Below are 27,599 nucleotides of genomic sequence, written 5' to 3'. Positions count from 1 at the left end.
AGTCAGTGCACTTCAGGATCTCTTGGACCTTGGGGGTGACTGGCTCAAAATAGCAGTTCAGCTGGTGGTGGGAGTGGGTGCTGGAAACAAGGTCTCATAGGCAGAAATCAGATGAGAATTCTCATCACACCCCACCCTCCAAACCCCTGATCTACTTTGACCTGAACATTTATTTTCCTCTTCTAGGACCAAGTTCGGGCCGCCATGACCTGTATTCGGTTCTTCAGTCACAAAGCAAAGTCATATACAGAACTGGGAGAGAAGCTCTCATGGCTACTTAAGGCCAAGGACCACCTGAAGATCTACCTCCAAGAAACATCCCGCAGCTCTGGAAGGAAGAAAACCACATTCTTCAGAAAGAAGATGACTGCAGCTGATGTGTCAAGGTAGCTGGAGGTTCAGGGGACTATTGGTGTGGGGCAGAAAGGGTGGGAGCAGTTGTCTGTAGGTGATGAAGCTACTCTTGTCCATTCCTTGAATCCTGAAAAAAAATCTAAAGGGAATCATCCCTGGATGACAGTGTGTAGTACAAGCCTAGAAAGCCTACAGAGGAGCTGGTAGTGGGAGTGGGAGTGGAGGGAGGATTAGCATCACAGGCTACAATCAGACTACACTCCATACTCCTTACAGTAGGCCAAAAGGCTCCTGCACGTTCTGGCCCCTACTGATGTCACCATCTTTATCTCCTGCTACTCTCTTCTTGCTAAGCATCGATCCCTGGCCTCCTCAGGGCTCCTCAACACACCAAGTCCTTAATTCCTCTCAGCTTTTATACTTGCCAGTCCCTCTACATAGAACACAACATCTGGAGTAAATGCTCTACCACTACCATTTATTGCCTCCAGAGGCTTAATTGCTAACTATTTTATGTGTTTGTTTACTATTCATTTCTCTTCCAGCCTATAAACTCTGAGGGCAGGGCTCATCTCTCTTGACCTCTGTTATTGTACCTGGCACATAGGTGCTCAATAAATGCTTATCGATTCAATGACTGGACCCTATCTGGTTCCACAGTGCACCATAATATTGTGAGTCTGTGCAGGACACGAGATCACCATTTTTTTGGTCTTGTCATAACTGCTCACAAGGTACTTGAGGTCTCTTTTCCCACTATATCATTTGTTTTCCCTTTTTCATTGCCATATTATTCGACTTCTCAGTCTCCTGGCCTCAGTCACCTGGGGCCCCTCATGAGGCTGGACTGTGCATATTCTGTCACCACAGGCACATGAACACACTTCAGCTGCAGATGGAAGTGACCAGGTTCTTGCATCGGTGCGAAAGTGCTGGGACCTCTCAAATCACCACTTTGCCTCTGCCAACCCTGTTTGGAAATAACCACATGAAAATGGATGTTGCCTGCAAGGTACATGCAGCGTTTCAGACCTCTGGCAGACTATTGTCATCTTTTAGAACACTTATCATAATTGCAGTTGTCTAGTGATTATTTCAGTTGTTTGTTTGATGGCTGCCTCCCCACTAGAATATGAGCCACCAAAGACTGGTGATCAGGTCCATTTTGATCATTCTTATATCCCTAGTGCCTGGCACTTAGCAGGGTCTCAACAAATATTTGTTGAATAATTGAATAAATAGAGGCCTTCATTCTTGGTCAAGAGTATTCTCTAGTAATTGCCATGTTTTTAAGCATGATTCCCTTTCCTTTTCAGGTCATGCTGGGAGGGAAAAATGTAGAAGATGGTTTTGGAATTGCTTTCCGTGTTCTGCAGGTATGACTTGGATCATTCAAATCATACTGAGGACAATCAGCACCTGACCACAGTTCCGGGAGAGATTATTCTTTAGGAAATTCTTATCCCAAGAAAAGTGGATTTACATGCACATTAGGGATGAAATCAAGGATGTGACTGTTACAGAACTGGGTCAAATTCAAGACTCTAGGCCACTTTGCCAGAAGCCAAGTAACCCATGACAAATTCATCAAAAGCTACCAAATAAATACCAGGAGCCAGGTCTCAGACAGTTCCCCACAGCTGTTTCCCTGAGAAACACTGCTGGTTCTCACAGGGAATATGGCTGGAGGGGTGGCCAGGGGCTTTCCACTGGCCACAAGGGCTGTTCCCCATCCTTGGTCTGTACAGGAGCTGGCTGGAGGAATATGTTTCCTATTGCTTGTGATAAAAGGACACAGGTGGGGCTGTGGCACTGGAGCAGGGGCTGGAGCAGGGCACTGAGACCATGAGGGGCAGAGTCTCTTCAGACCTGCCCACCACCACACAGCTCCATGCAGATACCCCAGGAGCTGAGAGCAGGCAGCTTAGGGCAGGCAGGGTATTTATGCATTGTGAGTGTGTCAGTGATCAATGGCTTCATACATGATTAGTCAGGTGTTTTTCTTCCCATCTGTTTTTGGTGTTGGACAGAGCTCACCACACACAGATACCCTGGTAGGCAGGCAGAGGGGCAGCTCCACCCAGGCCCTGTGGCATAAGGGTTCTCCTAGACCAGGTTTAAGGTGTTTATCTGGCAGTTTTCAGCAAATGAGTCTTTCAGTGAATGGGTCTGTTTCTGAACACTAAGTCACCTGCGTCTTAACAGAGCACCAGGTGTCCAGGGCAGCAAATACCATCCCCCAATGCCCATTTCTCAAGAAAGTGAACTAGTCTTAGGATTTTGATAAGAATATTTTCAGTGAGTGCCACCGCAGCAAGTGAAATGTACCATTTTAGATACTACAGCTGCAGTTTTTGTGGATGCTTCCTAAAGGTCTACCTAACTCCAAAGAGGAATTGACGCTTGCTTTTTGTTTGGTATATTTATGTTTTCTACTGTGACCACAATCAATATGGCTTATCTACACCAAGCATAGTGAGAGCTTTTAAATGCTGCCTCCCTCCCCACCGTTAACGTTTCCTGCTCCTAAGCCCATCATGTTGTGTTCTGTTCTAGGACTTCCAGCTGGATGCTGCCATGACCTACTGCAGAGCTGCCCGCCAGTTGGTGGAGAAAGAGAAGTACAGTGAGATCCAGCAACTGCTCAAATGTGTCAGTGAGTCAGGCATGGCAGCCAAAAGTGACGGGGACACCATCCTCCTCAACTGCCTGGAAGCGTTCAAGAGAATTCCGCCCCAGGTACACTCCCTCCCGTACCTCTTGGCTCCTCCATCAATTTCAGTGTCTTCACATCCCCATCTTTATTGTTCTGTTTTCCATAATGTGCCTGAAACTCTACAAGATCCTTTTATCATTCTGAACCCCTCTGCAATAATGGCCTCACCATAATTGACCCTTCCCTGTAAAGAAAATTTATGGAGATGACATCTATACCCAGAAGGTGACCCTCAACATCCCATTGTGTAAATTTGTTTGCACCTGGATGTGTCTATGGAGTTGAGCTTCTTCCTGCAATTCTAGAGGAGGTCAGGGTGGGCCAGCAGATGAACTTTGAAGCCTGTTATCTGCGGAATTGTCCTCCCATGGTGGCTTTGTGGAGTGAACAGAGCCACATCCATTTGTGAAGGCCGAGGACAGGCCTCTTGGGAACTGTTCCTTCTCCCTAAATTCTGAAGCTTAGTGTTATGGTTAAATTTTCTTTCTTGTTCTTTTTTTTTTTTGAGACAGAGTCTCGCGCTGTCGCCCAGGCTGGAGTATCTCAGCTCACTGCAAGCTCTGCCTCCTGGGTTCACGCCATTCTCCTGCCTCAGCCTCCTGAGTAGCTGGGACTACAGGCGCCCACCACCACGCCCGGCTAATTTTTTGTATTTTTAGTAGAGATGGGGTTTCACCATGTTAGCCAGGATGGTCTCCGTCTCCTGACCTCATGATCTACCCACCTCGGCCTCCCAAAGTGCTGGGATTACAGGCGTGAGCCACTGCACCTGGCCTTCTTTCTTGTTCTTAAAGCAGGAGTTGAGTTTAAAAAGAAGAGTCAGCCGGGTGTGGTGGCACATGTCTGTAATCCCAGCTGTTCTAGAGGCTGAGGCGGGAGGATCACTTGAGCCCAGGAGTTTTGGACTATAGTGTATTACGCTGATACATACTTAGTGTGAGAACTTAGTGCTTGCACTAAGTTCATGATCCATTTGGTGACCTCCCAGGAGCAGGGGACCACCAGGTTGCCTAAGGAGGGGTGAACTGGCCCAGATTGGAAATGAAGCAGGTTAAAATTCCTTTGCTATCAATAGTGGGATCATGCCTGTGAAAAGCCACTACACTCCAGCATGGGCAACATAGTGAGACCCCATGTCTTTGAGAAAAAAAAAGTCAGGCAGACATTTTCATTCTGAAGTCAGAATGGCTGGGCTGAGGCTGGGTTGGGCCCTGGCTCCCAGACTGCGGGACTCTTCTCCCTCTCACAGTGCTGTTTCTGTTCTGCACAGGAGCTGGAGGGCCTGATCCAGGCAATACACAATGATGACAACAAGGTGAGCGGAATTGTCTCCAAACGCTGGTGATGCCAATGAATTGTGTCTCAGGCTTGCCTAGTCACCTTTATCCCTTGCTCCCCACAATAGTTCCATACAACCCGTATCTCAGCTTCTGTATTATCAGAGGTGGAGCTGAGGCTTGGATAGGGGTGTAGAAAGGAGGGAATAGATGAGGAGCAGGTGAACATGGACTGCATGCGTCTTTGCCTTCCCAAGTCTTTATCCCCAAGACAAACATGTCCTAGGCTGCTCTTGAATCTCCATTTTATACTGATGTCTTCTCTCAGAGAGCCCTAGGAAATCCCTCACCTCACCTCCATCTTTGGGTGGACTGATGGATTGAGGTTCCCAGAGTAAGCAGGTATCTCTTTATCCTAGAGGGAAAAAGGTACAGTAAGAAAAAAATCCCCACCCCACACTTTGACCAACAATGTCCAACAATGTCTCGGTCTCCAGAATGAACCTCTCCTCAGGGGCCAAAGAACTCGTCCCTGTTTGGGAAAATGGTGAACCTTTGCTTCCCGTTGCCTTTGGGAGGAGTGCCAGTCAGAATAAAAATCTTCCCAGATGCCCCCATTTGTGGCTGACCACTGGATTGATCCTTCTGCCATCTGCAGGAAGGGTCCCAGGCCAGGAGGGGCATGAGAAAGCCAGTGGCAGAAAAATTATCTGACAGCTGAGTCCCCTGTGATGAAAACTGACGTCAGGCAAAGAGCTTCTTACACGCTCCCCATGGCAGTATTGCTAATCCTGGGACTGAACTTAATGGGCATTTTTCAGTCTCCAGGGTTAAGGAGAATAAGTTCTAAACATTTCTTCATTTATTTCTGTAACATCATGATGATGTCAGAAAGGATGAAATTCTGACATCCTGAAATGTAGAGAATTACTTTTCTAGAGTCAGACTGAGAACCTAACAGCCAGGACAGACGCCCAGGTCCTCTGATTCCCAGACTGCAGTTCTTTCTCAAGCCTTCACTGAGCCTCCCACTCAGCAGGACAGAGACGCTATTTCTGGGAAAGACACGCTCTAAAATAGAGACAGTCCTTATTACTTTTTCAGGTATTTTTCTCTCAGCAGCTGTCTAATGCAGTTAAATGAGCTTAGGCCATGGGGGCTTGCCAAAAAACAACTTCATTCAACTCCATTCCAGACTCTCTGGCAAAATGCCCTTCTTCTCTTGGTAGGAATTTTGCCTGCCAACTTGTGATATGTATTTAGCTTAGTGTACATAGATGCTAAGGGGAGCTGAAGGCCTGGGGAGAGCTAACATCCTAGGGCAGCAAGTGGATTCCCAAGCGGCACAGGACTGGATCACTTTAGTGACCTCAGAACATGCCAGACATCATCTAGCTGTAGGAGATTATCTATAATTCAGCTTAGAAAGGAAAGAAAAACTTTAGTGACCAAAACAAATAACAGATGGAGCATTGATACAGGAAGCAAGGCGAGTCCCCTCCACTAACCAACAGGGATTATTGCAGCAGAAAGGGAGCTGCTGGCAGAAGCTCTGTGGCAGCTTATGAAGGCCTCTCTGCTCACCAGCCTAGAGCACTGTTTAACCAGGGGGTGCTGGGGAGACCAGGGCCAGAAAGGAAGGGACTTTTGTCTCCACCAAGCTGGGGATTCATGAGATAGCGATCCTGGGACATAGACACATACGCATATCCTGCAACAGCTGCCTTTGGTCCAAGCAGGCAGAGTCAAATCAGGTCTAAGTGGGGTTAGACGTTAATTCGACTTTTTCCAATCGTGTGTGTGTGTCTTCCTCCCCAGATTTCCTGTGATTATAAAAAAAACTTTAGATTCAGCTGGCCGAAAACAGAAAAATAGAGGAGGATCTATGTGTCCATTCTGGGAGGGTTCTGATGGTTTATTCATTCCTGTAATACATATTCATTGAACACCTACTACATGCCAGGCCCCGTGCTAGGTGCCAGGAATACTACAGGAGTAGAAAAAACAGACACTACTCTTGCCCTCATGAAGCTTAAAGTCTGATCAAGGAGACAGGCATAACCAAATAATCACTCAAGTAACTACAAAATCACAACTCTGGGCGAGAGCAATGCTGATCCTGAACCCCAGAAGATGCTGGAGAGCCTGGGAGAGTGAGGAGGAGAGTGTCAGAGGGAGTGGACAGAGACCAAACTGCCTGCTGGCCTGCCTTCTTTTTTAAATTCTTAGCTTATTTGTAATAACTTTTTACACTATAAAATAACACAGTGTTATAGCATATGTCCAGAATATTGAAAGAGTTGTTATAATACCATAAAATACATGAATCCTGTTATGAACGTGGCAGGTGAGACATGGTGTCTGTCTGCCCGAGCTTTCTGCTGCAGCTCTGTATACTTGATTTGTCGGTGATGGATGCCTTTCCGCTGTCTCTTATAACTGACTGCCAGGTTCGGGCCTACCTGATATGTTGCAAACTGCGTTCTGCCTACTTGATTGCTGTGAAGCAAGAACACTCACGGGCCACAGCCCTTGTCCAGCAGGTGCAGCAGGCCGCCAAGAGCAGCGGGGATGCAGTAGTGCAAGACATCTGTGCCCAGTGGCTTCTGACAAGCCACCCCCGGGGTGCCCATGGCCCAGGCTCCAGGAAGTGACCTTGGGCAGTGGGGCCAGGAACACGTGGCCTGAGAGCTGGGCAACAGCAGTGATGGCGATGCCCTCCACCTCTTTCCTCCAGTGGAGTGGGACTTCTCTGGCTCTGCCCTAGGTTGGAAAGAGTTGGATTGGACCCTACTTGCCTTCCCGGGCAAGGATAGGACCTTTCACGCAAGTGCCATGTTTCTCTAAAATTGTGGAATCTATGTGTGTTTGTCTGGAGATGGCCAGTTCTTTCTACCTCAGAGTGAGTGAGTGAGTATGTGTGCACACACGTGTGCATGTTCCTGTGCGCTGATGTTTACGCCCAAGCATTTCTGAACAAATGAAACTCTTCTCCATTTAAAAGAGGCACTTTACTTTAGACTTGCCACTCTGAAAACCTTCCCTGCGTTTTGGTTCTTGACCCGGGTTGTCCTGTTTGTATAGTCCCCCCTCTGTGGACGTGCTTTAGTAGCTCCTCTTACCTAGAGGGCTTTTACAGAGAATTAGAGCAACACCAAAAGGATTGCCTCTTTTCCTTCCTTCCCATTCCAAAATTCAGAGATGGCTTTGGGGCAAGTGCTACCTGTGGAATAAACCTGTTTTCCAGGTGTCTCTTCTCCCAAGCACAAGAAGTCCTGGAGTCTTTGGAAGGTAGTCTGAATAGAAGGGTTTTCAGGTGCAGGCATCTGAAAGCTGTGGGTATGTGTATAAATGATCAGGTCTGTGAGGCTAACACGGGCAAGAGGGAAAGAAAGGCTAACCATCCAAACAGGGATACAGGGGAGGCGGTGGGGGGTGGTGGGGGGAGCGGGTGCTCACAAGCACAGAGCTGCCTGTTGTGAATGTCCCTGCTGCAAAGTTGGTGGGTGAGAGAATGGGACTTCCTCTTTGAGAGTCTGGGGAGAGAAAAGGTGGCCAGGATCCTAGGACTGAATGACTCGATTTTACCTATTTGAGCTGCAGTCCTGTTTGCGCTCCTTGAATTGGTTAGGAAGCTGCTTCCTTTTCCCTCCTGCTTCCCTTCAGTCTCTTCAGGACCACAGGATGGATATGCAGACATGTGGGGTCATTGGGAAGGGAGTGCGCTTCTTTTCTCTGTCTTAGAAAAGGGAGTCAAGGGTTGGCTTTGGAATTGGGCCTCTGGACAGAGTCAGAATGAGGGAATAATGAATAGGTCACATCTGGTTGGTGGAAAACTAGGTGAAGTGCTTCTTTAATATGCACTGTCTTGTCTTCCCACGCAAGATGTGACAATGTTTGAGAAAAGGTGTGTCATACTCAGTGACTTCAATTTGCAAATGTGGGGCCTAAAGAAAGCTCTGCAGCTCTGAACCTCTCACTGGCCAGAGCTCAGCCTATTGGTCCCATCCATGATGCTGAGACAAACAGAAACTGGAAGCTGAAGTCAGTGTCTCTGGTGCTCAGAAACCCTGTGGATTTCCCTCTGAACCAAGATTTTTAGTAGTAAAATAAACAACTCATGGACATCTGTCAGATGAGAAGTTTTGGTCCTGTTAGAGAGGAGAAAGACTGTAATGAAACTACTAGACCCATTTGGGCTAAAGTTTGGCTTTTCCTTCCTTGAGTCATAGAACGTATCCATCTCCCAGGAAATGTCCTTCTCTGGCGTCTGCTTGCCCTTCTGAGTCTGCCTTTTTTGCACTGAACATAAGCACTTTATACTAATGGGTCACAAATCTTGCAGCCCTTAATTTGGGATAAGACCAGATTTTCCTGACATTTTCCTCTAACTCATTGAACTATCAAATTATAGGCAACCACTGACTAGACTGATATGAGATGAGGCTAAAAGCCTTTGAACACCACGCTGTAGTCTCCAACAGAAAAACACCACCAAAACAGATACCCATGTTGAGGGGTTGAATGTTTTACTACAAACAAGCCACAATAAAGTGTCTATCAACATGTTTCTTGGCTTCATAACTTCTTGGTGCTGTCTTGCTCCTACCCTTTGCATCCTTTTTCCTTGTGGAAAGAAAAGGGAGTGGGGAAGATCAGATGGCCTTCAATTCAGACTTAGTCTAAATAATCCCCATAATGACTAATGACTTTGCTTAGGATTTATCTCATTTCCTATGTGTTTAAACACTGTTAGTGCACCCTCTACCACCAGAAAACTTTTTTTTTTGCTTCAGTTGGGGGATGGGTAGAGATAGGTAATACGTTTATAAGGTGCAAAAGGTAAGTGAAAAGTCCCTTCCACCCTGTCCACCCAGCCCAGTCCCCTCCCAGAGGCCACCATTGTTATCAGTGTCTAGTGTACAGTTCCAGAGCAAATGACTAAAGTGTTCCACTGTGAAGCTATACCACAATTATTTAACCAGTTTCTAATGATGGACATTTTATGTTGTTGCCATCTTTCGCCACTACAGATTATGCTGCATTGAATTATCTTGTTCAGAATACCAAATTTTCTGGATCTATGCTAGTCCGATGGGTGAAAGGTTTCTTCTTTAGTGAATTTTTTTTTTTTTTTTTTTTTTTTTTTTTTTTTTTTTTGAGACAGGGTCTAGCTCTGTCACCCAGGCTGGAGTGCAGTCGCCTGGCTAATTTTTTTTTATTTTTTGTAGAGACAGTATCTCACTATGTTGCCCAGGCTGGTCTTGAACTTCTGGGCTTAAGCAATCCTGCCTCATCCTCCCAAAGTGCTAGAATTACAGGGCTACTTCCCCTGGCCCTGTGCCCCAGCCCTCTAAAATGCTTTAAAAAGCTGTTGTCATTTTAAAAGCTCTACATATCTTTTCAATATCAACCAAATTGTCAATCTTTGAAACCAGGTGTAGGGTCTTTGGGGCAAGCAGAACTCAAACTTAGCTTAAACTGTTTTCTTGCCACCCACTTCAGGCATATGTTTGCAGTATGATACTTGAGCCATGGACAGTGGCATCACTGCTCATTATCTCCTTTCCCCGGAAACATGATCTCATCCAATTTCTCATGTGAAAAAAAAAAAACAAACTATACTTTGAGGGATCATTTCTATAGTTCGTTACTAGAGAAGTTTCTCTGAATGTGTAGAGTATGGACTGAAGAGCTTCTGCACAGCAAAAGACACTATCAGAGTGAACAGGCAACCTACAGAATGGGAGAGATTTTTTTAAATCTATCCATCTGACAAAGGTCTAATATCCAGAATCTACAAGGAACTTAAATAAATTTACAAGAAAAACCAATCCCATCAAAAAGTGGGCAAAGGATATGAACAGATACTTCTCAAAAGAAGACATTTATGCAGCCAACAAACATGAAAAAAGCTCATCATCACTCGTTATTAGAGAAATGCAAATCAAAACCACAATGAGATGCCATCTCACGCCAGTTAGAATGGCAATTATTAAAAAGCCAGGAAACAACAGATGCTGGCGAGGCTGTGGAGAAATAGGAATGGTTTTACACTGTTGGTGGGAGTGTAAATTAGTTCAACCATTGTGGAAGACAGTGTGGCGATTCCTTAAGGACCTAGAACCAGAAATACCATTTGACCCAGCAATCTCATTACTGGGTATATACCCAAAGGATTATGAATCATTCTACTATAAAGAGACATGCACACATATATTTATTGCAGCATTATTTATAATAGCAAAGACTTGGAACCAACCCAAATGCCCATCAGTGATAGAATGGATAAAGAAAATGTGGCACATATATACCATAGAATACTATGCAGCCATAAAAAAGAATGAGTTCATGTCCTTTGCAGGGACATGGATGAAGCTGGAAGCCATCATTCTCAGCAAACTAACACAAGAACAGAAAACGAAACATCGCATGTTCTCACTCATAAGTGGAAGTTGAACAATGATAACACATGGAGACAGGGAGGGGAACATCATACACTGGGGCCTGTCGTGGGTGGGAAAGAGAAGGGAGAGCATTAGGACAAATACCTAATGCGTGCAGGGCTTAAAACCTAGTTGACGGGTTGATAGGTGCAGCAGACCACCACGGCACATGTATACCTATGTAACAAACCTGCACATTCTGCACATGTATCTCAGAACTTAAAGTAAAATAAATAATAAATAAATTTAAAAATTAAAAAAGATCTAAAAACAAACAACAGTAATGATTAAAGTAGACCTGAAAACCACCTGGTAGTAGACGTAGCACAAAGATATGTCACAACAGAGAAAGTTGGAACACCCACTCTAAACCTAGGATAGATGACTGCTATATTTAGAAACCTGAGACACTCCAAGGTTACCAGATATCTTTGGCTGGAGCTTAAGCAAAGTAGATCAAAGGCTATTAGACTCTTTGAATACCCAAGCAACCAAATATCGATAGCCACAGTAACCCCAGAGGAAATGGCCTTTTCCTGGCCTTCATCTCTTATTCCACAGTGATAATGTTGACTGACCTATCCTTGAAATGTTTAGTTCTTCCACAACAAATTCATTCGATGTCTGGTCACTGAATGGCTTCTTTGGTGGAATGCTTTCCTGCTCGCTAATTCTGCATGTTGTTATTTCTTCTTGGAGCCCTTCCTTCAGCACCTCCTCTACCCTACCCTCAAGTCTACCATTGTCAAACCTCTTCCCTCAGTCCTGCATCGAGTGCCATCTCCTGTACAGATTATTCACTTCTCTGCCTATGCTTTCTCTTCATCCCACTTAAAGACAAATTCCTCAAGGTTCTAGCTATTCCCTCTTGACACTCATACTCTCCCATACAATCCCTTAGCTTCAGCAGTCATCTTGACTGCCCCCCTTAACTCTTTCCCACACCAGATCTGCCTTTTGACTACCTCCTGGAACTCACCCCAAGGCTGACATGCACCTAAAAATATTAGCATGTCCAAAATGGAATGCATTCAATTCTACCCACAAACCTGAACTTCCTTCTTCAGTGAATATATAGTTTTGCTTTATTTTATTTTATTTTATTTTATTTTATTTTATTTTATTTTATTTTATTTTATTTTATTATTATACTGAGACAGGGTCTGGCTCTGTCCCTCAGGCTGGAATGCAGTGGTGTGATCACAGCTCACTGCAACCTCTGCCTCCTGGGCTCAAGCCATCCTCCCACCTCAGCCTCCTGAGTAGCTGAGGCTACAGGTGTGCACAACAAGGCTGGGCTACTTTTTGTATTTTTTGTAGAGACAGGGTTTGTTCACCATGTTGCTCAGGCTGGTCTCAAACTCCTGAGCTCAAGCAATCGGCCCATCTTGGCCTCCCAAGGTGCTGGGATTACAGGTGTGAGCCACCACACCCAGCTGTTAATATATAGTATTAAGGAGTGTTGTTATTACTATTGTGCATGCTGCCTGGTTAGAACCTCTGTGCCGGCCAGGCACAGTGGCTCATGCCTATAACCCAACACTTTGGAAGGCTGAGGTGGAAGGATCACTTGAGCCCAGGAGTTCGAGACCAGCCTGGCCAACATAATGAGACCCTCACTACAAAAAATAAGAAAATTAGCCAGGCATAGTGGTGGGCACCTGTAGTACCAGCTACTCGGGAGGCTGAGGTGGGAGGATCGCTTGAGCCCAGGAGTTAGAGGCTGCCATGATCCAAGGTTGTGCCACTGCATTCCAGCCTGGGAGACAGAGTAAGACCCTGAAACAAAAAAAAAAAAAAAAAAAGAAGAAGAAGAAAGAAGAAAGGAAGGAAGGAAGGGAAGAAGGAAGGAAGGAAGGAACTCTGTGCTGACTGTTTTTTCCCCCACCTCCTCATTTGAAAACATTCAAGTACCTGCCATGCATCAAGCTATGTCCAAGCTATGTCCAAAGCCAAATCCTATCATCCTACCTTCCCAGCCAGAAGAACCTGTCCCTTCCACTTCATCACTGTAGTTCAGATCATTATCACCTCCTCCCCTGACTGTTGCAGAAGACTCTTCATCTCAAACATTCATCCTAGAGTTGCACCTTCTACCAACTCCATATGAACAAATAATAATTCTAGAAGAATCAAAGGACTTCTCTATAATATTGAGGTATGGAGAATCTAAGCAGATACAGAGCCTAGGATCCTTGAAAGACTTGAAAGATTTTTTATTATGCTAAAATATACATGACATAAAATTTAACATTTTAACCATTTTTAAGTGTACACTTCAGTGGCATTAAGTACATTTGCATTGTTGTGCAACCATCACCAACATCCATCTCCAGAACTTTTTCATCCTCCAACTGAAACTCTGCACCCATTGAACACTAATTCCCCATTTACCCCTCCTCACAGTCCCTGGTAACCTCTACTATACTTTTTGTCTGTGAATGTGACTACTCTAGGTACCTCAGGCAAGTGGAATCATACAGTATTTGTCCTTTTGTGTCTGGTTTATTTAGCATAATGGAAACCCCAGTTGATGTTGGTGACCAGTGATTCATGGAAGCTCCAATCTGTGAGACTGAGTGATTTTCTCCAGCCATACTCTTGGTATATAGAAATCAGAGAGATGGACCGCTCCGTGGGCGCTTGTTCTTCACTAGACAGGGATGATAATGGGGCAAGTGAATCAGCAAGGAAGAAAGTTGGAGGAGTAGGAGGTTGTGGCTAGAGTAGGATGTTAAAAGTTATCTGGAGAGCAGAAAGTTCATGTGATGGAGGTGTAGTCTTTGTCATGGGAATTGAGGACTGAAGAAGAGTAGAAGGCAGTGATTAGGAGTCAGTGATTAGGAGAAGGTCAGGGAACTGAGTCTGAGTGAATATGTGTCACGTTTTCAAATAGTAGTGCTTTGGGCAACCCATGTGTATTACAGTTATCACACCATTCACTTGGTCTTCCTTCAGTACCATGTTGTTATTTGAGGTGAGTTATTTACTGTTTAATCACACTTTCTCAAATACTTTATAAGGCAGAATTCTCATATGTTCAATAAACACTTGATCTTTTATGCCAGATTGACATTAAACGTCTATGGTAGATGCTAGTTAGGGCCTGGCATCTACCATATTTCTATCTGGCACATCAAAGGTCCCTCTTCTCTGAGAATTCCTAGGGTTAGGCCCCCAGTGGACATGTGAGGACTACATGAATATGAACTACATGAATATGAACTACATGAATAGTATTGCCCTTAGACCCAGGCAAGAAGGGCTCCTTCCCTTGGCCAGCCACTTTAAAAGCCTTATATTTCACCAGAATGCACAAGAAAATAATAAGTGTATTTACAAATACATAAGGCTCTGGAACTCAGTGCTGACATAACATAACCTGATACCCTAAACATTTACTCTCATGATTAACACTGTTTAGGTGCCAGGAAAACTCTACTTAACTGCATTCAAAGGCTTTGAAGGTGTGCAGATTATGCTTCTGCTTCTGAGCATAGGGAGGATTGGAATAAAAGAAGCAGTTGGGGAAGAGAAAAGACAAATTCATTAACTTGTCAAATTCTTCCCCAGCATGAGTATAATAAATACTTGCATTAAAACGGGTATCATTTTCAGTAGTCGAGGGTCTATATTCTTGTCCTTCTTCATATTCCAATGTGTGTTTGCAACATTTGTCTATGGAGTCTTTAAAAATTTGCAATATTAAACAATTCATATTACTTTTTTTTTTTTGAGACAGAGTCTTACTCTGTCACCCAAGCTGGAGTGCAGTGGTGTGATCTCGGCTCACTGCAACTTCTGCCCCGCTAGGTTCAAATGATTCTCCTGCCTCAGTCTCCTGAGTAGCTGGGATTACAGGCGCCTGCCACTGCGCCCGGCTAATTTTTTTATTTTTAGTAGAGATAGGGGTTTCACCATCTTGGCCAGGCTGGTCTCGAACTCCTGATCTCGTGATCCACCCGCCTTGGCCTCCCAAAGTGCTGGGATTACAGGCATGAGCCACAGTGCCTGGCACTTTTAAACTGGTAGGTGTATAGGTGTAAAGGAAACATGCATGAAGTATGATATCCATTGTTTACATTAGCAACTAAATGGACAATGAACTTCAGAATTGTGAATTGTTTTATTTTACAAAAATCATAAAATTAACTAAATTTTCAAAAAATAAAAATATTCCACATTATTTAAATAATTTGGATTTAAAATGTTGATACTCAAAATTATAATTTGTCTTTTAATTATAATAGATAATTTAAATATTTTAAAAGAAAAATAATCTAAAACATTTTTTAAATAATTTTTTTTGCATTTCTTTGATTTCCATTTTTATGAGAATATATTAAATTGTGTATACTTTCAATACAATTATATTGGTTTAATCCTTTAAGTAACTGCTGTCATTGGAACATAAATTATTAGATGACTATAACAACATAGTGATTTTATTAAGATGAAAACAGGAAAAAAAAATTTTGTGGGCTTTTATTACTGTACATCCCTGGCCCAGAAATGGAATAGCTGGATATAGTTGGATGCACTCTTTTGCATCATCTGGCAGCTGGATACAGGGGATCCAATAGAGAACACTGAGGTCCTGGGAAATAATGGAACCATTGATTTTTTTCTTGGCCATGGGGAGCAGAACCACCCTCCCACCCCCATTCCTGCAGTGGAATGTGACATGAGCGAGAAATAAACTTTTATTATATTGTACCACTAAAGTTAACATTGTTTGTTACAATAATTAATCTCCTCCTATCAGAGCAAGTTGTACCTCCTCTCTTGAGATTTTCTTAGCTGATCATTTTGGCTAATATAGATTATATATCCATATGTAGAAAAAATAGATTGTACATATAGATTAAAACTTGGGTGAACACCTGTAAGGGTGTGCCAGGACTATTAGGATTCTCTGTGCTAGGATATTAGGTCAGTTTTCTCCATGGATATCTGTCATATTCAGAAATCAATGGAAGATGACAGAACTTGGGGGTGGAGAAAAATGTAATGAAAAAGTTGTCAAATATTCACTTGGCAGATGAGGAAATTGAGGGTGATAAAAGTAGGTCAGGAAGATATCTGCCTTGGACTAGCAGTAATGGTAAGAAAAAAAAGTAAAAAAAAAAATTAAAAAGTAGGTTAAAAATGGTAGAATGTCAGCAACTTTATAGGGTTCAACATAATACGATAGCATCAGTAGGACACAGACTTAATAAGGTCAATTTATTATGTTGTGTAACAAGAAGTCCCAAGGGAGCACAGCTCCAGTCTTGGTTAATTCAGTGACTCACCACCACGTCATCAGCAACCCAGATTCTCTCTATCTTTCCTTTCACCACCCTCGGCGTGTGCGCTAGTTTTTGGGCCAGCCAGCTTCACTCATGGTCTCAAGATGATTGTGGCAGATTCAGGTGTCATGTTTAGCCATGACAGCATCCAACACAAGACAGAAAATTTCTTCCTGTGCCTCATGTTTTAACCAATGAGGAAGCCTTTCCTAGAAGCTACCAAAGAGGCTCCTTCCACATCCCACCGGCCATGATTGAGCCACGTGACTTTTCCATCACCGTCACTTGCAAAAAAATGTGATCCGCACGGTTGCCTTGGGCCAGTGGTTCACAGCCCTGGCAGCCCATCAGAATCACCTGGGTTGCTTTCAAAAACATTTTCCCAAGGCGAGAACAATTGAATATGGATCTCTGTGGGGAGGCCTGGACTTTGGCATCTTAAATATTTAAAAATACACAGCCAGAGTTGAGAACAACTGCGATCAGTTAATCATTCACAGAAAGCAGAGGTAGACACTGGAACAAAGTCAGAGTAGGGAATGACTACTGGGTGACAGCTAACAGTGTCTGCTGAAGTTATTAATGTTTAATTTTCAAGTAAGATATAAGAATATTCTGCTTTTAAAAAATTGAAAAATCATTTCCCATTAATCCTTCCCCAGGATAACCTCTCTTACACATTCATTATATTGTTTTATATCTTTTTCTGTGCTTTTACATACCTATATATGTACTCATAGAAAATATATATTACATGTGTGTAATTTCAAAATATAAGTCTTACTACACAGAACACATCATTCTGAAATTCAGTATGATTTATCCAAGTATATACGTGTATAATTATTTTTTTAATATAATGATTTTTGGAATAACTACTCCAAAATAATTATTTCATCATATAATCATACAGAGATTAGTATATAATTATTTATAAGTATATAAGTATATTTCTATAAGTATATATTTTATAAGTATATATTTATAAGTATATTAGTATATATAAGTATATTAGTATATAATTATTATATAATCATGTCAGATTGTATAATCATACCACAGATTAGTTTTTCGCCAACTGATGGACTTTTAGGCTATTTCCATTTTTTTGCTAATATGAACAATGCCTCCTCTTTACATACATAGGCTAATGTTACTGCAGATATTAAGAAGCTGAATTGCTGGTAGAAATGGCTCCACCATTTCTTCCACTCATAGCAGCAGTGTATAAAAATATCTATTTTTCTATATTTTTGCCAATATTTGCTAAGCTTTCAAATTTTTGACAATGTGATGGTTTAAAATGGTATAATGGCATCTTGTTTTAATTTGCAGTTCTCTGATCACTGGTCAGGTTAAATATCTTGACTTAGGTACATTGGCCATTTGCGTTTCTTCTGAAAATTTCCTATTTATAACTTTTGCAAAGTTCTCTGTTGGGTTCTGTGTCTTGTTCTTATTGAGAAGTAGAAGTTCTTTATATGATAATAAGTTGAGAGTGGTGACTCACACCTGTAAGCCCAGCACTTTGGGAGGCCAAGGTGGGAGGATCACTTGAGTCCAGGAGTTTGAGATCAGCCTGGGCAATAAAGCGAGACCCCAAGTCGAAAGAAAAATGAATAAAAATATGGGTACTACTCTTTTGTGTGATACATATTATCTATGTAAATATAAGATAGGTCATATATACATATACATCTGCAGCAGATGCTGTGTTGCACCACCCAGATTCCCTCCTATGGTTTGGTTCTGTGTCCCCACCCAAATCTCATCTCAAATTGTAATCCCCATGTGTTGAGGGAGGGACCTGGTGGGAGTTGACTGAATCATGAGGGTGGTTTCCCCCATTGTCTTCTCGTGATAGTGAGAGAGTTCTCATGAGACCTGATGGTTTTAAAAGTGGCAGTTTCCCCTGCACTCTCTCTCTCTCCTGCCACCTTATGAAGATGTGCCTTGCTTCCCTTTCACCTTCCACCATGATTGTAAGTTTCCTGAGGCCTCCCCGGCCATGTGGAAGTATGAGCCAATTAAACCTCTTTTCTTTATAAATTACCCGGTCTTGGGTAGGATCTTTATAGCAGTGTGAGAATAGACTAATATACTCCCTTTAGAAATGAAGCATACAGCTAGGCATAGTGGCTCATGCTTGTAATCCCAGCACTTTGATAGGCCAAGACAGGAAGATTGCTTGAGCCCAGGAATTCAAGGCCAGCATGGGCAACAGAGAGAGACCTTGTCTCTACCGAAAAAAAAAAAAAAAAAAAGAAAAGAAAAAGAAATGAAGCACTTATTCTCCCAGATGCTGGAAATGTACACAGCTGCCAACTCTCAGCTGAGTTTTTATCTAGAACTTGCCCTCACCCAGGTCATGCCCCCTCCCTGGAAGCTGCCCACACCCAATTACTGGTCACTGCGGGTGTTTAAAGACCAACCTCCTTTCCTCAATTCAAGACAGCTCAGCTCCAGAGCTCTCTGTGGAACAGGATCACCTAACCCTTTAGTGTGACTGCATCGCAGATCAACTTCACCCTCTGCCCTGTCCCGCTTCTCTCACTCCCCTATAGATACCAATCCTAACAGTCCTCCTAATAAATTTGCTGTGTGCAAATGTCTGTATCTCGAAGTCCGTTTTCTAGAATACATAACGTAAAACAATTTCAAATATGTTCACCATTATCACTTGACTTTGAACTTTGTTTGAGGTATGCTTTTTGGATGTATTCCTCTTTTCCCATATGCTTTTTGCTTTTCATGTCTTAAGAATGCTATCCCTCTTCCAAGGGCATAAAGATATTCTTCTATATTTTTTTCTAATATTTTCACAACTTTTTTTGCCTTTTAGTCCACATAGTACTCATTTGTATGCATGGTGTGAGGCAAAGAATCTAACTTTATGTTTCATTTGGATAGTTATTTGTCCAGCACCACTTATGACATTGTCTATGTTTTTCTGACTGATTTGAAATGCCTCTTCTACAATATGAAAATATGATAGCGATATCAAAATAGCATATATGAGAATATGATAGCCGTAGAAGAGACGTTTCAATACCCAATACCCAACTACAGTTGAATGCTTCACAGTGAGCATTTGACCCAAGCCAAACCTGGAATTTTTTAAATTCTAAAAATAGGAAATGGCTGCAGGAACTCTTCAATGGTAGAGGGAGAGGAGTCTGGTGTTGCTTGGCGCTTGAGTTCTAGTTATTTCTAAGATACATCTCTGCCCATTCCCACTTTCCAGTTTCAACCCTTCCTTGAGTTTATGAGCAAAATATTGCATGGTTTGGGACTTAAGCTTGCTCAAACTGAGTGTCCATCTTATAACTAAAAGAGACCAAATACACAAGGTATATCCTCCTGAGCTTGGGACGCATGGCAACATTGTATACGAAGTTGAGTTGGACAAGGGCCAAGTGCCACCCAAGGTAATCTGTGGCAGCTAGTCACCACCTAGGAAATCGGTGCTCTGAAACTGTTTGTTTCTTGAGTTTCATATGTCTCTTTGATTTCCTTTTCCTTTAGTTTCCCATTGAAGTGTTATTTTTAGGAAATTAGGACAGTCTCAGCTGAGCCAAAAGAAAAAGATTTTCCACCCCAGGCTAGATTAGCTAAGGGTGTCAGAGGCTAAGAGAAGCCAGGAATAGTGAAGGCAGTGGAACTGGGGCAGTTAGAGAAGCACCTAGGAGGGAAGTCTGGAACAACTGAAATCCCTGAGCCCTTCTCATCCAGGATCTTGTTTCCTGTATGTTGAGGGGCACTCTGCCAAGGCAGGAAGCCATATCCATATCCAAGCACAAGTCAATAGCGGAAAAACAGCCCCGAAGGTTGCAGGGGATTTCAGGGAGCCAAGATGGGAAGGTCGAACGGTGTCTCGGCCACCAATCCCCCGGCATTGTTTGTGCAGAGCCAAGGCCTTTCACTTGCTCAGATGTTAACTTGCGGCAAGTCTTTTCTGGAAACATGACAAGAGGCCAAGACTGGCACATGTTCCTTGCCCAGGCTGAGCAGACTAGATGGTCCTTTTGGTGTCGGGCGAGACACTACAGAGAGGTGAGATGTAGCCTGAGCACGAGGCGATTCTGAAGGAGTAGTGCTGAGGGAGGCTGTGTCTCGTGGGAGCACCTGAACACCACGAGAAATGATGGAGTCTGGAATCTGAACAAGGGGAACGACTGTGGCTTAATATTCTGAAAATGCCAACAACATGTCGAATCAACACCCATGCCTATCATTGTTTTCTTTTGCATTCTTTGCTGCTCAGCTTCCCGATATTTGGTGTCATTTGCTGTTGGTTGTAAGTGCATCTAATAATCTGGGATATGATGGAAACTTTCAGATTTAAAATATTTTCTCTAGCCAGATATTTAACAAAATGTCTTTAAATGAGAGGCAGTACAGCATTGCAGTTAGGAGTATCCACTCCCAGCCCTGTACCACTGTGAGCTGGCCAAGCTGTGATCCTTGCTGAGGGCGGCAGGAAATGATGCATTCTGCAAGTGGAGCCTCCTTCAGGAAGGAAGGAGATGGGGATAACGCAGAGAATAGCACCCCTTTCCTAAAACTCAAGGGGAAGAGTGTCTCCGTCAGCACTCAAATTTCCTAAGGCAGTTAGGCCATGGGGGAGTAAAATCCTTTCCTTTTGGGTGCCAGATTCTCACTGAAACTGCTTTTTCTCTGTCTGCCTAACTCAGATGGATTCCTCCCAGCAGCTACACACTCTGAGGATCTTACATTCCAGCTGCTGTCTTTGCCCTGAGTTCTAGGCCTAGGCCTGCTCCCTTGCTATTCCCAATTCCCGTGGCTGGGTAGGGTGAAATGCTACTCACTAAACTAGCAGGCTGGTTTCCTGATTTGTTCCATTTCTCTCCCTTGCTGCCCTGAGAAAATAAATAAGACAATGAGATGAATGCAGTCTTTATTTTCTCTAAAAATTGAAAGGCAAACGGAACTCTTTACAAAAAGAAACCATCTGCATGATTGAAATGGGAAGGTCCAGGTGAGAGGAAGGAATCTAAATAGGCCAGGGTTAGCCAGGATCTTTGTGTGTTGGTCTAGACTCCAGGGTGGTGGCAAATATTTTTAAAAAGAAAGAGATCAACCAAGAGTTGGAGTGTATAGCCCCTAGAAATAGGCAGTGATGGTGCTCTTCTTGCCTCAGCTGAGCCTCTGGTGCTGATGAGGGAACTGACCCAATTTCTCGGGCTCTTCTGCCACCCCCATGCCCAGCCTGGGATCTGCCCAGTCCTGCTGCCCCCAGAGGGTTGCTGACTTTCCAGGTCTTAGAGAAGAACACTCTATAGGTGTCCACAACTCATGCCATAAGCCAGTCTCACAAGAGTGTCAGGTGTGCAAACATTCCCAGAAGGGTCAAGAGGATCAGAGCAGGCAGGATTCGCAGCACCAGCTGGCCAAGAGGACAATCCTTTAGGGTTGGCCTTCTCCTTGGTCCCTGTTCATTATGGCATGGATTGGGCCTGATAAAGCTGCAGCTCTTCCACCAGCTACTCCCACCGGATTCCTAGAAGCTCACAGCTGACATTCCATAGGCGCTCAGCTGTTTTGTTATTTCGGGCCCTTGGAGACACCCAGGTCCTCTTGCAGTCACTGGAGGGCAGAGAAAGACAGTAAATTCCAGGAATGAGAATTAGCAGTCTGGAAATCTTTATGGTCCCTTTCTCAGAATGTTTCTAAATGAATAAAATACAATATATGCCAGACTCAAAGAAACTAATTATACAAAATGCACTCCAAAAATATTTTAAAAACAAATTTGTGATATAGTAATACACAGGCTTATTTATTAATATATTCTATAACAAGATCTAGTACCAGGTCTAATAATCAAAGGATTTCAAAGTAGTGGCGAGCAGAAGTGACATTCTAGGATATCTGCAACAACTGCAATGTGATATAAAAATATTTATAATTCTATTGGTGACAAAGTCACAGGTATCACTACTACTACTACAGTTCAGTGCCTACATTCGTAATTGAAGAAAATGCCAAATCTCAGTTGGAGGTTAAATTAAAGATGAAGTTATTTTCCCATCCAAGTTCACAGGCCTCTTGAATTCTGGGGACAGATGCACTTGCATACCATGAACCCCAGACCAAGCCCTCCAGATTTGCTTTGGAATGAGCAGGGGCCCTGAGGACTAGAGGGATAGGGGGTGGGAGCAGAACACAGTTCTCATCATGTTTTTTTTTGTTTTTTTTAATTTTATTATTATTATACTTTAAGTTTTAGGGTACATGTGCACAACGTGCAGGTTTGTTACATATGTATACATGTGCCATGTTGGTGTGCTGCACCCATGAACTCGTCATTTAGCATTAGGTATATCTCCTAATGCTATCCCTCCCCGCTCCCCCCATGTTTTTTGTTTTTAATGTTCCTTTTTTCTAATTATAAAAGTCCTGTAAAACATTCGGAACATGCAGTGCTGATAAAAGAAGAAAAGCCTATCACGGCTGGGCACGGTGGCTCACACCTGTAATCCCAGGACTTTGGGAGGCTGAGGTGGGTGGATCACCTGAGGTCAGGAGTTCAAGAGCAGCCTGGCCAACAAGGCGAAACCCTGCCTCTACTAAAAATACAAAAAACAATTAGCCGGGTGTGGTGGTGGGCACCCGTAATCCCAGCTACTTGGGAGGCTGATGCAGGAGAATGGCTTGAACCCAGGAGGCAGAGGTTGCAGTGAGTGGAGATCACGCCACTGAAATCCAGCCTGGGCGACAAGACCGAAACTCCGTCTCAAAAAAAAGAAAAGTCTATCATTTAGTTGCTTTCTGTACAGTCTTTTTTTTTTTTTTGCTTTGTTTGGATATAAATAGAGATATAGTCTCTCTCTCTCTTTCTCTCTTACATAAAACCGGGATCATACTGTATCTAGTTTGAGGAGGATTTTTTTTTTTTTTTTGAGATAGGGTCTCACTTCATCACCCAGGCTGGAGTGCAGTGGCACTATCATGCAGCCTTGACCTCCCAGGCTGAAGCCATCCTCCCACCTTAGCCTCCCGAGTAGCTGGGACTACAGGCATGCACCACAATGCTGGGCTAATTTTTTGATTTTTAGTAGAGATGGGGGTCTCACTTTGTTGTCCAGGCTGGTATGGAATTCCCGAGCTCAAGCAATCCTCCTGCCTTGGCCTCCCAAAGTACTGGGACTACAGGCATGAGCCGCCACACCCAGCCTTAAATTTTTTTTTTTTTTTTTTTTTTTGAGACAGAGTCTCATTCTGTCGCCCAGGCTGGAGTGCAGTGGAGTGATCTCGGCTTACTGCAGCCTCCGCCTCCCAGGTTCAAGTGATTCTCCTGCCTCAGCCTCCTGAGTGGCTGGGATTACAGGCACCCACCAACATGATCAGCTAATTTTTTGTATTTTTAGTAGAGATGGGGTTACACCACGTTGGCCAGGCTGGTCTCAACTCCTGACCTCAAGTGATCCACCCACCTCAGCCTCCCAAAGTGCTGGGATTACATGCATGAGCCACTGCACCTGGCAAAATTTTTAAATAATAAAAAAACACCTAGAATAAAAAGATAAAAATCATCCTTCACACTCTGCTTGGCTCTCCCTAAAACTCCCTGGAAGTAACCACTACTGCCCAGTGGCTGGTTATCCCTCCAGACTGTTCTCTATGTATAAAAAATCATATAGTTTTGTATTCCAGTTTTTTCCTTACAACATTATATCACTAACATTTTTATATTAATTACATATTATATTAAAATATGATATTTAATGACTGTATATTTTATTACATATTTAAGGCAGCAATGTTAAACACTCAGACTCTAGAGTAGCAACTGTCCAATAGAAATATGATGGGAAGACCAGGCGCAGTGGCTCACGCCTGCAATCCCAGCACTTTGGGAGGCTGAGGTGGGCGGATCACTTGAGGTCAGGAGTTCAAGACCAGCCTGGTCAACATGGCAAAACTCCATCTCTACTAGAAATACAAAAACTAGCTGGGCGTCGTGGCATGCACCTGTAATCCCAGCTACTCGGGAGGCTGAGGCAGGAGGATCCCTTGAACCCAGGAGGTGGAGGTTGCAGTGAGCCAAGATCATGCCATTGCACTCCAGCCTGGGCAACAGAGTGAGACTATGTCTCCAAAAAAAAAAAAAAAAAAAAAAAAGAAAGAAAGAAATATGATGAGAAACACAATTGTGAGCCACATATGTCATTTTGAATTTTCTAGCAGCTACATTTAAAATGTAAAAAGAAATTGGTGAAATTTATTTAGTAACATTTAATTACACATTCATTTATTGAGTTAATAAATATGTACTTTATTTAACCCACAAATAGCAAAATCATTTTAGCATGCAATCAATATAAAAAATGAGATATCTTTTATCTCATTTAAAAATATAAAATGAGATAACTTACACTTCTTTTTTTATACTATAGGTTGAGCATCCCTTATCAGAAATGCTTGGGGCTGGGCGCGGTGGCTCACGCCTGTAATCCCAGCACTTTAGGAGGCCAAGGCAGGTGGATCAACTGACGTCAGGAGTTCAAGACCAGCCTGGCCAACATGGTGAAAGCCCATCTCGACTAAAAATACAAAAACTAGTCAGGTGTGGTGGCGGGCACCTGTAATCCCAGCTACTCAGGAGGCTGAGTCAGGAGAATCGCTTGAACCCAGGAGGCTGAAGTTGCAGTGAGCCAAGATCAAGCCATTGCCCTCCAGCCTGAGTGACAAGAGTGAAAATCCATCTCAAAAAAAAATGCTTGGGATCAGAAGTATTTAGGATTTTACATTTATTTGAATTATGAAATATTTGCATTGTACTTACCAGCTGAGCATCTCAAACCCCAAAAATCTAAAACCCGAAATACTCTGAAATCCAAAACATTTTTAGCAGCAACATGCAACTCAAAGGAAATGCTTACTGAAATATTCCGGACTCCGAATTTTCAGATTTGTGATGCTCAACCTGTATGTCTTCAAAAATCTGGTATGCACTGTACACTTACAGTGCATCTCAATCTGGACTAGCCATATTTCAAGTGCTCAATAGCAACATGTGGCTAGTGGCTACCATACTGAATGGCACAGCTCTAGAGCCAGATTGCCAGGGCGTAAATCCCAGATCTACCACTTATAAGCTATATGACTTTGAGCAAGTTTCTTAATTATCTTGCGCCTCAGTTTCATGTGAAAACTTGGGGTAATATTACCTGCCTCGCAGGGTTGTGATGATTATATGAATTAATACACATTACACACTCAGAACTGAGTACCAAACACATTATAAAAACTCAAGCAACATTAGCTATTATCACTTATCCATTCCCCTCTCATCAGACACTAAGACTATTTCCAGTGCTTCACGGAATAAATACTGCACTGATGAAAAGCCTTGAACAAAGCGGGACAACAGAGCAGACAGGGCTGGATTCTGTCATGGAATGGGAAAGAGATTTCACCCTGGGCTTCCCTTTACTCCCAGACTCTAGTTGCTCATTGAGTTCATGATAAGATTCAGCACTAAAATTTCTACTTCTATATTTCAACAGATAGTGCCAATCTTGGCAGCATTGAGGGACAGAGTTCACACCGAAGAGAGAGGACGTTCCCCTAGCACTTTGTGCTAATTGGTATTTAAAAATTCATGAATCAAGTGAGCCAAAAGCTTAAAGAAGGAGAAAAACGATCCAGATCTCCATGGCATAACCAACAGCGACAGTCTTCTTTAAAAGCTTTCAGAAAGCTGCAAAGTTTTCATGGAAAAGCGGCACACGAGTATAAAATAAAGCCAGAAAAGCAACTCTTCCCAACACATAAGTTTGTACTGTAAGTTTCCTTAACAAAGCAACGGCATTCTGTTTGCAGGCCCAACCCAAACCTGGATTGCATCATCAGGCACAAACTCAGCTTCTCAGGATGAACAGCCCAGCGAGTCCGGCACCTCCCATGCACACAGGTGGTGGAGAGAACCGCATTGCCTTCACACACCTGAAGTACTTGCCACTCAGGGGCTCCAGGCCCTCAGCCAGGGCGCAGTGCAGGCTGGTCTGCGCCCCCTCCCGTGCCGTCTTGACAAAGGGGGAGAAGAGCCGCCAGAGCAGGCAGAGCAGGGAGGAGTGCCGGACCAGCTCAGAGCGGACGACGCCTGGGTGCACTGCGTAGGTGGTGACCCCGGTGCCTGGGACAAAGAGGGCACAATTAGATCAGGGACACACTCTGAGCCCAGGAAAACAGCTTATCTCCTGCAGCAAAATACACAAGTGAGAAGGAGGGACTCAGGAAACATAACCCCAGGATTCAGCAGGTACCACTCCTGGCCAGGCGGAATTTGAACAGGAATGAATTGATCTTTCAGAAAGATCTATAGCCTTCTCAGCCTTCTATGTTCCAAAAGGAGTGCCTGGTTCGAGGTCCTTCTATTTCAATGTCGTTTTTATACTGTGGCTTTAGTACTACTAATAAACATGACAACATGTAGTGAGTAGTATCAATCATTGACAGTGGTATCTTTATCATTTCTAAAGGAGGAGTTTAGGGGTAGCGATCTGATTGGAAGGTGGTGGGTAGGACTTTATTTTGAGCTGCATTTGCCTGGCAAGCACATTTCATGAGGTATAGATTGAGGGATGGTGATGCAGATTGTGGGGGATTAACACCCCCCCCCCACAAGATATCCCTGGTGCGGTCACTATTTTTCAGTACCAATTATGTGCCAGGGCCATACAACATGCTTTAAATGTATTATTTCATTTAATTCTTAAAGAGGCTTGTAAAATAGAATATTATGTTATGATACCCATTTACAACAAAGAAAACTAAGTCACAGAAAGTTTAAGTAAATTGCCTAAGGTTATACCTGGCAGGGTGCAGGGCCAAGGTCTGAACTCTGATGTAAAGTTAAAAACATGGAATGGACTGTCTGCATTTGAATCCTGGCTCAGCTAGGAACCTTCCTTGGGCAAATTTCTTAATCTGTCAGTGCCTGTCTTTTCATATTTAGAGTGGGGGAAAATAATAGCACCCACCTCACAGGAATGTTGCAAGTATTAAATGAGTTAAGATGTGTAGTACATGGCACACATAAACCTCTCAATTATTATTGTAATAGTTATTGTTTATTTTTATGATTACCGTCTTCTTCTACTGTAGGCATTCTGGAAGTGAAGATCATTGTTCCCAAACTCTGGCTTATTCACTGTAACAAATGGACCCCTAGATCCGCAGATGTCAGAGCCAGCAGCTCACCCAGTGCTCCAGGAGAGCACAGAATCATTAAGGAATAAGAACCAGCCTGACCTGATTTTACAGCTGAGAAGATGAAGTCAGGGGAGGTTAAAGGGGCACATCCACATCCACATCCACATGCGGCTAGCATGTGGTAGAGCAAGAACTTGGACCCAGGGGTCTGAAATCCAGCCCTAACTCCCTGAGTCCAGGCAGTGGCAGCTCTGTAGCTCAGATCACCATGTGGACCTCAGCAAATGGCACCCAGAAGGAAGCACCCTAGGTTTAAAGCTGAGCACCCACATTC

The 27,599-nt window shown here is 43.3% G+C and overlaps 3 protein-coding genes and 1 pseudogene across 7 annotated transcripts in view, besides 1 other annotated feature; 2 read left to right on the top strand and 2 right to left on the bottom strand.

The window, feature by feature from the left end:
- Positions 1-26,545, top strand: part of ZFYVE26 (zinc finger FYVE-type containing 26) — an 87,699-nt gene extending 61,154 nt beyond the window's left edge. For 3 of the 4 annotated variants that reach the window (NM_015346.4, XM_047431175.1, XM_047431174.1), the window contains 6 exons: positions 187-386; positions 1,225-1,366; positions 1,671-1,730; positions 2,911-3,093; positions 4,341-4,385; positions 6,798-8,915. In NM_015346.4, the coding sequence (NP_056161.2) occupies positions 187-386; positions 1,225-1,366; positions 1,671-1,730; positions 2,911-3,093; positions 4,341-4,385; positions 6,798-7,001 (834 nt within the window). In that variant the 3' untranslated portion in view covers positions 7,002-8,915. Of the gene's footprint in view, positions 1-186; positions 387-1,224; positions 1,367-1,670; positions 1,731-2,910; positions 3,094-4,340; positions 4,386-6,797; positions 8,916-25,617 lie in introns of those variants that run through there. The other variant, XM_047431173.1, reaches the window with a different exon arrangement.
- RN7SL213P (RNA, 7SL, cytoplasmic 213, pseudogene) lies at positions 3,893-4,209 on the top strand (annotated as a pseudogene).
- GPHN (gephyrin) overlaps positions 20,082-27,599 on the bottom strand; it is a 1,227,209-nt gene continuing 1,219,691 nt past the window's right edge. The window contains exon 15 of the mRNA XM_047430879.1: positions 20,082-20,242. Coding sequence (XP_047286835.1) covers positions 20,097-20,242 — 146 coding nt within the window. The 3' untranslated portion in view covers positions 20,082-20,096. The remainder of the gene's footprint in view (positions 20,243-27,599) is intronic.
- The window catches only part of RDH12 (retinol dehydrogenase 12), a 32,566-nt gene continuing 25,952 nt past the window's right edge, over positions 20,986-27,599 (bottom strand). For both annotated transcript variants that reach the window (XM_047430965.1, NM_152443.3), the window contains exons 8-9: positions 26,057-26,246; positions 20,986-21,691 (exon numbers count right to left, since the gene is read on the bottom strand). In XM_047430965.1, coding sequence (XP_047286921.1) covers positions 21,589-21,691; positions 26,057-26,246 — 293 coding nt within the window. In that variant the 3' untranslated portion in view covers positions 20,986-21,588. The remainder of the gene's footprint in view (positions 21,692-26,056; positions 26,247-27,599) is intronic.
- Positions 25,614-26,244: an enhancer, noted in NCBI's record as "H3K4me1 hESC enhancer chr14:68195910-68196540 (GRCh37/hg19 assembly coordinates)". NCBI's record gives its function as "activates a minimal SCP1, AML or CMV promoter by ChIP-STARR-seq in naive H9 embryonic stem cells {active_cell/tissue: H9 hESC(naive)}" and the evidence as "EXISTENCE:reporter gene assay evidence [ECO:0000049][PMID:30033119]".

The sequence above is a fragment of the Homo sapiens genome, chromosome 14 (genome assembly GCF_000001405.40).
Source record: "Homo sapiens chromosome 14, GRCh38.p14 Primary Assembly".
NCBI lineage: Eukaryota > Metazoa > Chordata > Mammalia > Primates > Hominidae > Homo > Homo sapiens.
This window is presented reverse-complemented; position numbering and strand designations above follow the sequence as displayed.